General features: G+C 37.6%; 1 pseudogene, besides 3 other annotated features; it reads right to left on the bottom strand.

The window, feature by feature from the left end:
• The window catches only part of PRIM2BP (primase 2B, pseudogene), a 264,192-nt pseudogene that overhangs the window by 154,714 nt on the left and 96,929 nt on the right, over positions 1–12,549 (bottom strand).
• Positions 5,536–6,143: an enhancer, noted in NCBI's record as "H3K27ac-H3K4me1 hESC enhancer chr6:57356812-57357419 (GRCh37/hg19 assembly coordinates)". NCBI's record gives its function as "activates a minimal SCP1, AML or CMV promoter by ChIP-STARR-seq in naive and primed H9 embryonic stem cells {active_cell/tissue: H9 hESC(naive and primed)}" and the evidence as "EXISTENCE:reporter gene assay evidence [ECO:0000049][PMID:30033119]".
• Positions 6,144–6,752: an enhancer, noted in NCBI's record as "H3K27ac-H3K4me1 hESC enhancer chr6:57356203-57356811 (GRCh37/hg19 assembly coordinates)". NCBI's record gives its function as "activates a minimal SCP1, AML or CMV promoter by ChIP-STARR-seq in naive H9 embryonic stem cells {active_cell/tissue: H9 hESC(naive)}" and the evidence as "EXISTENCE:reporter gene assay evidence [ECO:0000049][PMID:30033119]".
• Positions 7,225–7,956: an enhancer, noted in NCBI's record as "OCT4-NANOG-H3K27ac hESC enhancer chr6:57354999-57355730 (GRCh37/hg19 assembly coordinates)". NCBI's record gives its function as "activates a minimal SCP1, AML or CMV promoter by ChIP-STARR-seq in naive H9 embryonic stem cells {active_cell/tissue: H9 hESC(naive)}" and the evidence as "EXISTENCE:reporter gene assay evidence [ECO:0000049][PMID:30033119]".

Genomic DNA, 12,549 nt, shown 5'->3' with positions numbered 1-12,549 from the left:
ATTACTGGGACCAAGTCAAATAAAATTAACTTTTACAAGCAGCTGCTCTTTTAACTTCATTGATTTTAACAGAAAATCCTGTGTCTTTTGAACTACATTTTCTTATAATAGCAACGGATCCCAATTACAAACCCCAAACTGTGAGATTCCACATTACATTTCCCCTTGCTCCTGGAACCAAATTTGTTCTCCAGTTTCATGTTCTCCCTTGGCAGGCTGAGATGCTGTTCATCACTAATCATAACAGTCTAGTGTTCAAATGCCCACAGCACTTTTTGGTTTCCACAGGGCTCTCACACACATTATTTCAGGTGATCTTCACAACAGAGGTGGTTTCATCACAACAATGCTTTGATACACGGAAATTTCTCTATCAGCTGGCTGCAAACATGATTTTCAATATGTAAGCTCTAAAAAGCAACCAACGACCTTGTCAAGCAAAACGCATAGATTCCATTTGAGCTCTAAACATGCCCAAGTAGTTTAATTTCCAAAGAATATTAAACAGTGCAGAGTTAACAAGATATTTCCAGTTCAGGGGTCTGGATGATATGAAGAACCGAGGAAGCAAACCTGGGAATAGTGCAAGCAGACATCCCAGTGCTAATTTTTGATCATGAAACCTATGGTGTGAAAAGAAGCTTGTTATTCAAAGGCTAACCTAAGCACCTTACTGATGCTCTACATCACTTAGAAATGTAAAACAATCGCTTGAGCAAGGGGAAAAAAGGTATTAAGAGATATGCAGTGATAAATGTACATGGATCACTGACTTTTCTCCCTTGGATATTATCTCTGAGGCTCCTCAAGGCCTCTCAAACTGTTCAGCCAAAGGTACCTGGAACATTCAAGGAGGGTGAACAACAGGTGACCTTTATGCCCTAACCATCAACTTCCTTTAATGTCATATAGTTATCTTAAAAGTGTATACAAAATTTACATTTGACTCTAGAACATGTTCTTGCTTTTACTATAAATATGTTTAATTATTTTACCACTGAGTAACACAGTGCCATTGTTATCCTATGGTTTTATCTATTCCTTAGTATAGTTAGCCCCATACATTTGGCCATTTTATTACTTTAGAAAACATATTACTACATTTTTACTCCTTACAGCCCACGTGAGGTAAGTCTTTGGTGGTACAATTGAGGCTGGGAGTTGGCTGAGACAATTCTGGATCTTTTCACTGTGTCATTTCATGTGACTACCACCGTTCAGAGAGACAGAGATGACATTTTTTTAGCCAAAAATTGTTTTATGCAAAGACTCTAAAAACCATTTAAATTCCTAGATTTTTCATTCACTTAATAAATTTGTGAGGCAATAACTTAAGTTCTAAAATTCCTTATTATGATTGTATTTTCATTCATCATTTTTGTCTCCTAAACATCTATACCATATTTACCTAAACATACATTTGTCAATTTCTTATTTAATGTAAGGAAATAAATGCTTATCTAGGTTTTCCAGAACCAAAACTGTTCCTTTACTGTTTATTGTAAGCATGAATCTTCCGCAAAATCTTATTATGTGGAAGTTTCTCATAGAAATTCCTGAATATGCACATAAATTCTACTATGTACACTGGAGTTACCGACCGTATCTACAGGCTTCTAGTAAATGTTTAAAAGAGGGCCCAGACTGAATTAGTGGGTTTCATAGTGCATGTTGTTTATCTTCTGTCAGCAGTATAGGCCATGATTCCTTTAACTTCCTGCTGAGCCTATTTCCAGACATATAACCTGCCCATTACACTGGCAATCTTACCATTTTACCTAAATATTACTAAACAGTGTACCACTTTTTGCAAACATTAAAGATAATCTATTCTGCACTACACTTAAATACATTCTTTATTAAGTAATCTAAAATCAGTGTCAAAGATCCACAATTATATTAATTACCAAAGTGAAGAGACACAGAAAAGACATGTATATGTAAATATACACTATCATTTTCTGCAGGAACTCTTTTTCCCCCAATTTGGACTTTCATTAACATTTGGGAATGGCTATAAAACAATTCAGAGTGGGCTGGGCGCAGTGGCTCAAGTCTGCAATCCCAGCACTTAGGGAGGCCCAGGCAAGAGGACTGCTTCAGCTCAGGAGTTTGAGACCAGCCTGGGAATATAGCAAGACTTCATCTCCACTAAAAATAAAAATAAAAAAATCAGCCAAGTGTGGTGGCACGTGCCTGTAATCCCAGCTACTCGAGAGGCTGAGGTAGAAGGATTGCTTAAGCTCAGGAGATCAAGGCTGCAGTTAGCTATGACTGTACCACTACACTCCAACCTAGGTGACAAAGCAAGATCCTGTCTCAAAAACAAAAACAAAATGAAACAACAAGGCAATGGGGAGTGGAGTGTAGGAGGTGGACAAGATATTATTACTAATGCCTCAGTGATAATAATCTGTTGTGTAACAAAACATAGTCCTTGGAAATGCACTTGAAGAACTGAAGAGCAAGTAATCAACAAGAATACATAGAGATTTCCATTTCCCCAACAGCTGAACCTCAAACCACTGATCCAAATGTATAATTCAAAGACGGTAGCCTCAGATGGCTAACAACATACCTCTAATGTTTATGTTAACAGATGCTGCAGAAAGTATTCATTTGCTTAGTACTTCAGCTACTTTTCCTTGGCTCTGTGACTTAATTTTCTCTGCTCTCTTAGAGCACAATGATGTCTTCCTCGATAGACATCTTGCCTTTGTAGATGTTGAAAATGTTTTAAAATATAGAACAGCCCAGTGTGCCTCTACATCTCACTCACAGTTTATTTATCTAACTGAAATAATCAGATACTGCACTATTTTTGGACTCATTCGGTTTAGTTTAAATTTAAGCTATTTTCTTTATTCATAAACTAATACTACAGTTTTTCTTTAAAAATAAATGAGACTGTTACACAATTTTGTTGCTCTACTAAAGGATTTTTATTTTTAAGCCCTTCTAAAAGGAGCTTCTTAAACTATGTGACTAACTTCAGTTACACATAAACATGTTTTGCCTATTAAAACTAGAGCCTTGTGATTAATTATAAAACTTTCCTAATTATATTTAAAACAAAACAGAAGAAGTAAATAATTTCCGTTGCTAACAGACAAAAATCAATAGAAACCATTGATTATGAAATGAAAATAGAAAAGTATAATGTCTTCACTGTGATAAGCACATTTATGTCAATTGGAAATTTCACCTCAGCCTCTGATCCAACATTACATAGGATGCATTTCACAAATGTTTAATTCATCACAAATTTAGAGACAAAACTCATTATTGAGGATGTTGGAAGGAAAATGAAATAGACATATTTTGAAATGTTGTAACAAACACATCAGGGTTGTTCCAAATCCTTTTTCCATCTCCTTTTTATTTTCCTTACAAAATTAGGAATCATCACAAGTAGCCACCTAGATCACTGATGTCTTCTCATTTCTAAATTCATAGAAGTTTCAAATGACACAGAATTCCTTTAACAACACAGAAACCCCTGAATTTAATGTATTAATACCAGTAAAAATATAAATCAGTTCCCTGTTAACTTAGGTCACCTAGTAAATCAAATTACATGCAAAATCCCATTCTTACAAAAAGTAGATATTTTTCTTATTCTTTGTTTCCTTTAGGTTACTACATTTTTCTATCTCCTTTTAGATTAGAGACAATAATTAGATTCTACGGTAAAGAAAAGATGCTGGTCTAAAAGTGAAAAAACCCTTACCTGCTTGCATAAGTTTTTTAAAAAACAATGTAGCTATTATAACAACTGCCTATTTTTCTGACTGCCCAAAATGATGAGCTGCCACTTTCGTGATGGAATGGACCCTAGCTAATACCATACTGCAAGCAGGAAAGGTGTAGATTCTAGACCACTGTGACATACTATTATCTGTACCTGCCCTATTCTACTCAAAGTACCAAGGCATAAAATCAAGAGTCAGGGTAAAGTAAGCATGTTTGGGGATACACTTCCTAAGAGTAATCATTTTAATATATCATATTTGTAAAATGCTCTTTGATATCAGAACAGCTGGCTGAGACTTTTAAGTGACCTTGACATACAGTTGACTGACTGCTTTCCAATAACATTATTTCATACTTTCTGGCACAATCACACTGATAGTGTTTGATGGATAACTAGACAAGCAAAGGACAAGTCTGAGCAATTGCCATCCTTTATATTTGACGTCTTCATGTTTCATTACACATCCTAGGAAAAGGGAAAGGGAACAAAAACCCATAGGCAATGTTAGTTCCAAGAGGTCTCAATACACACAGGAAGCCCCAAATAGTATTATTTTGAAGCAGCCACAATCTTTAAATAAAAATGCACTTTGTTGCAATTAAAGAACCACCAACAGTTATACAACTAGGAAGAGGGAGAGATTTTCATCTTGCATGTCTTAGTTAAATTTTGTTTTCTTTAGTAAAATGTTTTGAATGAATGGTCACAAGATCCTCTGGACAAAGCACAGAGCACCAAATGTAAAGCTTGATTTTCCTGTTCTGCTATTTGTGCCTGATTTATTTCCCCCTCAGTTTATTTTAATCAACTTTTAATCATCAATTTTATTTAATCAAATTAATGCCAGCATGAATTAAAATCTGTCCTACTAAGATGCTTCAACAGTGCTCTCATTTGAACTATCAAAGAGTTCACATTTTAAAGTCAACTACCAAAAAACACATGTATTTGCCATAAGTTGCCACTGATTTTTTTAATTACATTAACATTACCTAAAAGTACAGTAAATATTTTTGGTTAAAGACATATAGTAAACATATGGGCAACAAAGGACTTAAGGAAACAGGACATTTACAACAGTAGGCTGTGACTTTTCACCAACATTCTAGCTGCAGGTCAAGACATGATTTTTTGGCCCCTATGCAAGGCAAGAATGAAGATGCTACTCACTAATAGGAGCAAGAATAAATCTGGAAGAAAAACTAAGATTCAGTTTTGTCCATGTTAAGTCTGAACTGCTTGTTAAGCATCCAGGCAGAACTATCTGGACTTAAGAAAAAGCTGTAGAAATCAATCGATCAATCTCAGAACTTTTTGTAGATTTATGTGCTTTGATGTAATTTCTATCCTTAAAACTAGAGCAAACATATAATGTATTGCTGTATTAATGCTTTTTATTACAAGCTATAATAGATACAAGTATCACTTGCTACAGAACTATCCAGTTCTACAAATTCTTAATAAAATGGAAGTCTTAAAGGCAGTTCTTAAGTTGCTCAACAATTCTCAGAATATTGAACAATTATTTGCTTTAAAGATGTGCTGACAATACAGTAGCTACTAGCCACATGTGGCTACTGAGTTCTTGAAATGTGGCTAGTCCAAATTGAGATATACCATAAAATATACACAAAATTTCAAAGACTTAGCATAGAGAAAAGAATGTAAAATATCTCAATAACTTTGTATACTAATTATATATCAAAATGACAATATTTGCAATATATTGGGTTAAATCAAATAAATTAAAATTAACTTCATCCTTTTTTTTTTCTTTTCTTTTTTTTTTTTTTTTTAGAGAGAGTTCTCCCTCTGTCACCCAGGCTGGAGTGCAGTGGCACAATCTGGGCTCACTGCAGCCTCTGCCTCCTGGGTTCAAGCAATTCTCCTGCCTCAGCCTCCTGAGTAGCTGGGATTACAGGTACCCACCACCATGCCCTGCTAATTTTTGTATTTTTAGTAGAGATAGGGTTTCACCATGTTGGCCAGGCTAGTCTCAAACTCCTGACCTCAGGTGATCTGCCCGCCTCGGCCTCCCAAAGTGCTGAGATTACAGGTGTGAGATCAGAAAATTTTAAATTACATATGTGGTTCACATTTCTATTGGACAGACTTCTGTCCGGTACACAAGCAATAATAACATGATATTTAAATGAATTAAAATCTAGGAGCATGAGGACATGTTGAAAGGAGTTAGCCATCTTGCTTTAGGCAGACAGTAAGGGAAGGGTCCCCGGACAACCTCCGACACGCCCCACAAGTGTTTACACCAGATGTTTTGTGCAGGTAAGGGAACTTACAGAGGGGGCTTGCCTAAACATGCCCGCAGTAGAAAATTCCATTCCTTAACACATGCGCAGCACAGGAAATAAATCCATATGGAGCGGCTCAAACTAAGGGGCCACATGCACACTGGAAGGACTGGGTGGAGCTGCCAGGAATTGGCATCTTATACAAATAAGGAACCCAGCCTCATCAGCTTTTAAATAAAAGCCCTGGTATTCAACTGTGAGGGGGCATCCAGCAACCTGCATTCAGGACCCCTCTCTTTGCTGAGAGCTTTCCTTTTGCTTAATAAATTCTACTCCAGTCAATCTCTGGTGCCTGTGAGCCTAAATGTTCCTGGTGGTGAGACAAGAAGCCAAAACTAGCTGAGCTAAAGGAGCAAAAATCCTGCATCAATGTGATTAAAAATCATTTATGTTATATGTTATTGTTAGAAAATCATCTATTTCATTGTATCTATGGCTGCAAAAGCACGTTTCTAAAAAATACATACTGTAATATGAGATCAAAGAAAACAGCATGTACACACTCCCAAAAGTAAAAAGAGATGTATCTCTTTAATGAAAATGCTAGTAACTTCTCCCAAATAGTTATACAAAATTACAAGGTTATGTATCATGACCTGCCACCCTGTATCTTTTTCAATCAGGAAGGTTATATAGAAAATATATCCCTTATTACGTTGAGAAATACTTTATCAAATGGAATATGAATTCATAAATTTATTTTGCAAGTTTTGAATTATACATTATATAGGTGATTTCCCTCACCTCAAATATGCAGAGTAACTGAGAACATAGGGGCTGAAAAGATAATCTGGTCTGACTCATGTTCCATATGGATAATCTATGCTATCATTCTAAAATATTTTAGATTTCTTTGGTTTTGATATTCCTAAATTTCACTACACTACAGTTTACCAGGATATGGGTTTTTCTTGTCTTTCATTCATGATACTCTTTTAGCCCTTTGAATTTGAAGTCTTTGTTCTTTCCTAATTCTGAACAATTTACCATCATTATTTATTTGAATATTTTTCTCTCCTTCAAATTCTTTTCTCCCTTCTGGGAATTCTATTATTTGAATGCTAGCACTATTATCTCTCTCCCTCCATGTTTCTTAGCTTTCTCCAATATTTTCTGTCTCTGCTGGGCCAGGTGCATTGACTCACACCTGTAATCCCAATACTTTGGGAGGCCGAGGTGAAAGGATCGCTTGAGCCCAGGAGTTTGAGACCAACCTGGGCAACATAGTGAGATGTCTCTTCAAAAATAAAAAATATATATTTTCTATCTCTGCTTTTCCTTCTGCCTCCGGAGGTCCTCAACATGATATTCAAGTTCAACAATCCACTTTTATCTATATCCATCCTATTTATCTGATTAAGCTCTTTACTTCAGGTCTTATATTTGTCAATCTAATATTCCTACTCTGTTCTTTTTATGACTTCTTGTTTGTTAATACTGCTACTATTGTCCTTTATTGCTGAATACATTTATTATGTTTATTTTTAATTATTGATCCCTCAGTTCGATAATTCTGCTTCATGAAGTCTATACTATTCCTTTTGTTATCTCCTCATATTTTCAATAGTGGCTGTACTCTCCATATACTTATTTTGGCTTCTGGGATCATATTCAACACAAGCTATGAGCTACTAGGTCTAGAAACATACATGAAAAAAATGGCCAAAACACAAGTCCTAGTACTGTCTGTCTTGGTGAATTTGAGAAGGATGGAAGGGATGAGCCACTGGCAACAAAAATCTCTCTTGATCACTCCAGTTTGCTGCCTACCACCAGGAAACTCCTTTAAAATGTAAATCCTTTAAAGGGTAACTCTTTTAAAGGGATTAGCCTTTAAAGTCCCAGAAAGAAGCAGCACTGGAAGAAGGCAATCTCAGTAGGGTATAATCTGCGCGCTCCAGGAGGAATCAGTGCCCTGGGGCAGCTGGTTGGCTTGTACCCGTTTTCATCAGCTCCTCACCCCATCAGCCTTTAGTGCTGCCCTGAAATAACCCAACTAACACCAATTTCTGTGGCAAGGGGCGGGCAATCGTTGTCTCAAAGCAATTGGAGAAAGTCACATCAAACCTCAAACCTCAAAGACAAAAAAAAAAAACAAAACAATTTTGCTTCTCCTGATTGATGCCTCAGGACACCCTGCGCCCTACACGAAACCACATACACAGGCATACCAATTTGCAACAGCCTCAGTCACCCCTATAATTTTTCATAGTTATTTTAGGTATTTCCTCAGATCTCTGCTTTCCTCTTACTTCTGTAGTTTCTCCATGGTTAGTTTTGGGAGAAGGAGCCAACAGCCTATATTAACTCTCCATCTTGACAGAATCCCAAATAAGTTAACAAAGGAACAGCTCCCTGTGCTACAGTGTAGGAAATAGCTGAGACTACAGGTGCCCGCCACCACGCCCAGCTAGTTTTTTGTGTTTTTAGTAAAGACGGGGTTTCACCATGTTAGCCAGGATGGTCTCGATCTCCTGACCTCATGATCTGCCTGCCTTGGCCTCCCAAAGTGCTGGGATTACAGGCCTAAGCCACTGCACCCGGCCTAAATAATCTAACACTTTTAAAACACCACACATACTCTTAAAAATGCAAACAAATCTCAAATCCAGTTGCCAGACTAATAACCAATAATTAAGAATAATTCTTAAAACAGAGAACTCTGTTATACTCCTAAGCATGAGACGTTTCAGTTACAGCTTAAGGACCCTTGGGAAGCCCACTCATGTGCAGCCTGTGGCCCCTTGCACAGCCACATAAGGATGTGCCTGGGCCTACATTTCCTTATAAAGAGATAGAGTTCTCACAAGCTGTACTGCACATATCTCTTAGGGACTGTCTTTCCCTGTTCTGGGCTGGAGGTTTCTTTCTTTGTTCTGTTTAAGCATGTGCATCATATAGTACCTGGCCAACCTCACTGCTATATCTGGCAAGGAGAGAACAGGGTTGTTCATCTGTAGCATGAGGGGATGAGGGCACACCCACAACCTCCCTGCCTTGGCTGCAGGGTGAGACCCGCTAGACATGGCAACCAACTCACTACTGAAGCTGACTTTGCCACCTCTTCTCTATGTGAGTAAAGTATTGTTCCATCCACAGCCTGTGTGAGTCATGTATCTCTTCAGGAATCCAACAATTGCAACCATGTGGTGGGCTGACATCCTGGGACTGCTGCTCCTGACAGTAGGTGTTGTTATGCTCCTTGCTGTCCTCCACACAGTGGGACTCCTCCCCTGAAGGTGGTAACAGGTCTCACTTGCTCAGTAAGTATAAAAACATTCTCAGAATCATTTCTCAGTAAAATTCCAAGTGACTACTTAATCTACATTCTACTTTTGAACTAATTACAGTTTCTACTGCCAAAAAGGCCCAGCTTTGAAACCCTGGTGTATAGATTAAAGTTTTCCCAAGAACACTGCTCCTGGAGCAGACTACTTTGCAGATTAAATATTAGGCGGGCAGGCTGTTGCTAAGGCAATAATCCTGGTAAATATGGTTGGCTGGGATTCCAACCAACACCACCAGAAAACTTATTGGCCATTCATTCTAGTGGGGTTCTCCTTTTCCAACCTCTTTCAATATAAAATCAATATTATGCATGCTCTGATTGTACTCAGAGATTACATACTAGGGACTTTAATATAAATAAAACTGAAAGGGGAATTCAGAAGTCAGATGGAAAGAACATAGTAACAAATGATGTAAGCCTGAGTTGAAGGTCAGACATGCCTGAGTTCAAATCCTAGCCCTTACTAGCTATATGACCTTTAATTCATTCCTTAGTGCCTCAATTTCCTCATCTGTAAATGAGGGCACTAGTCCCAATTTTACACAGCTACTGTAAACTAAACTTTACTGTATTAACTAAAATTAATAAATGAAGGGAACATATAAACAGGCCTTCAACTATATATTCAACAAATATGCATTATATAAAACAATGGACTATGTGCTAAAAGCTAGTGGCTGCTGCTAGTAACAAACACTACTAAAACTCCCACCATCACCACTACTATCACTTCTCCTATTTCGAATTAATTGACTGAGCTTCACTCAGAATTAACATGCTTACCCTAGAGACAATTATTTTAAGAGTACATTTACAGAATCCTCAAATTATTTCAATCCCCAATGTGTTCAATTTGCTTCTTTAAAAAAAAATCAAATTATCTATCGCCATATGGTTTTTAGTAAAATGTTTCTTCTGCAAGTTAAATGTGTTTGCTTCTAATTATTTCTAAATGTAGTGCTTGTAGTACCATAAAAATAATTTTGAGATCCAAATTTCATTGATCAGGCCAGGGGCAGCGGCTCATGCCTGTAATCCCAGCACTTTGGGAAGCCAAGGTGGGAGGATCACTTGAGGCAAGGAGCTTGAGACCAGCCTGGGCAACATGGTAAAACCCCATCTCTAGTAAAAATACAAAAATTAGCCAGGCATGGTGGCATGCACCTGTAGTCCCAGCTACTCAGGAGCCTGAGGCAGGAGAATAGCTTGAACCTGGGAGGCACAGGTTGCAGTGAGCCAAGATCACACCACTGCACTCCAGCCTGGGCAACATGGAAGTTTCCATCTTCTTGTCCATCTTTAACAACATGAATATGTCATAGAAGATGGTAAACTTGAAGACACTGATTCAAAATCGAGTGCTTATTCCAATTAAATTTAATATTAAACAAGCTTATTAGAAGTCATTTTTGTTGTAACTTTCTAGGGGAATTGTTAGAACTTGACTAGTAATCTTTTAAATTGTTTTCCTGATGTAACAATGACTATAAAAATTCAAGGGCTACATAAAAGTCACCAAAAATAAACATTAAATTCTTTTGCCATTCATCACACAATTTTCTCAACTGCTTTATTTTCTGAATATGAAAAACAAATCCTTATGCTTCACACTAGAAGAAATCAAATGTACACTCTATGTAAGGGGAAAAAAGATTAAGGCTTTTATATAAATAACCAACCACAGAAATATTTATTGAGTGTCTACTCAATTTTCATCCATTTTCCCCAGACATGAATCTCACCAAGCCAAGTTGTTACACAATAATTCCTATGTCAATGCTAGTTATCTAGCTGTTTTCCAAGGTCTCATTTCTGATGCCTAGGTTTGCCATTTAATGTGAAATATGACTGGCTGAGCTATAAAGATGATATAACTGTTGGGGGAGTTGAACATGCCATATATACTGGACACATCAGGAATGTGTTCACTGTTCTCAGCATCCTCATGAAGTTCAATCCGCCCATCTAGAGCCTCTGCTCAGGCAAGGCCTCACTTTCCCTAAGGACGGATCTGTGACTAAGAACATAAGGCTTCAGATTATCTGCTTTCCGTGGTCTTCCTGCCTCCAGCCCATTCTTTACTTTGTCATGGCAGGGTACTTGCCAAAATACAAATATGTTCCACTATTTCCTTGAATAAGTCTCTTAACCCATTCATGCCATAGGTTGCAAATTGTTTTGTGAAAAATCAGACCTTGGTGATGACCATGAGCAGGATATAAATAACCCCCACAAGCTTAGCGTTTCAATAATGGAACACTAGGCATAAATGGGTTAAATGACTCCTTACTACACAAGCTTAGCGTTCCAATAATGGAACACTAGGCATAAATGGGTTAAATGACTCCTTACTACCCTCCATATACAGTCCCAACTCTTTAGCCTGTTCTCCCTCTTTCAGCCTCCTCTTCTGTCCCATTCCTCACCTGACACTTCTTCCCTTTAGGCTATACTCTCCAGACATTCTGAACAACATCTCCTCCACTGGTCCAGCACTTCCACACCTTTACTCTTTGGAATTCCAATTCTCCTTCCACAAACACCCAATACCTCTCTCTGCCAAACACCTATTTAACTTTTCCATCTCTTAAGAACCTTCCAAGAAATTTCTCCTATCTTAACCTTAGAACTGATGACTCCCTTCTTGGCATCCCTGCAACACACACTCCTATGGCGCTTTGCACAAATCTGTTTGCTTGTCATGCTCACTCTCTTGGACTGTAAGCTCCTTTAAGGGGGAAGCCAGGGCTTGTTTAACTGTGACCCTGCAAAACACAGCATGGAGTTTTCATTCAATAAATGTCTCTGTAAAATGAATTAATTAACCTTTGTATGTAAGGAAAATGTCCTACACATGGTACACACTCGTTAAATGCCAACCAGATAAGTGGATAGATTCTCTAGCCATTGATAATGATATGTGGACTACTACAGATGCTCAGATTTCCTATAACCTAAAAACTCCTAACATATAGACACACATTTTTTTTCCGTAGCTTCTACTCTGTCTTAGAGACCTAAAATTAAAAGGACAAGAAAATGCAGTACTGCATATATCAGCCCTTTGCATAAACCAATACTTGCTCAGGTCTAATGTTAATAGTTACAAACATACATCTAACTCCGACCTAATTCACATGACCTATCTCTACCCCTTGATATTAGGCAGAACTCTTACATGGACAAAGAATAGA

This window comes from Homo sapiens, chromosome 6 (assembly GCF_000001405.40).
Source record: "Homo sapiens chromosome 6, GRCh38.p14 Primary Assembly".
NCBI lineage: Eukaryota > Metazoa > Chordata > Mammalia > Primates > Hominidae > Homo > Homo sapiens.
The sequence above is the reverse complement of the archived record's forward strand: the minus strand, read 5'-3'. Positions and strand labels throughout refer to the sequence as shown.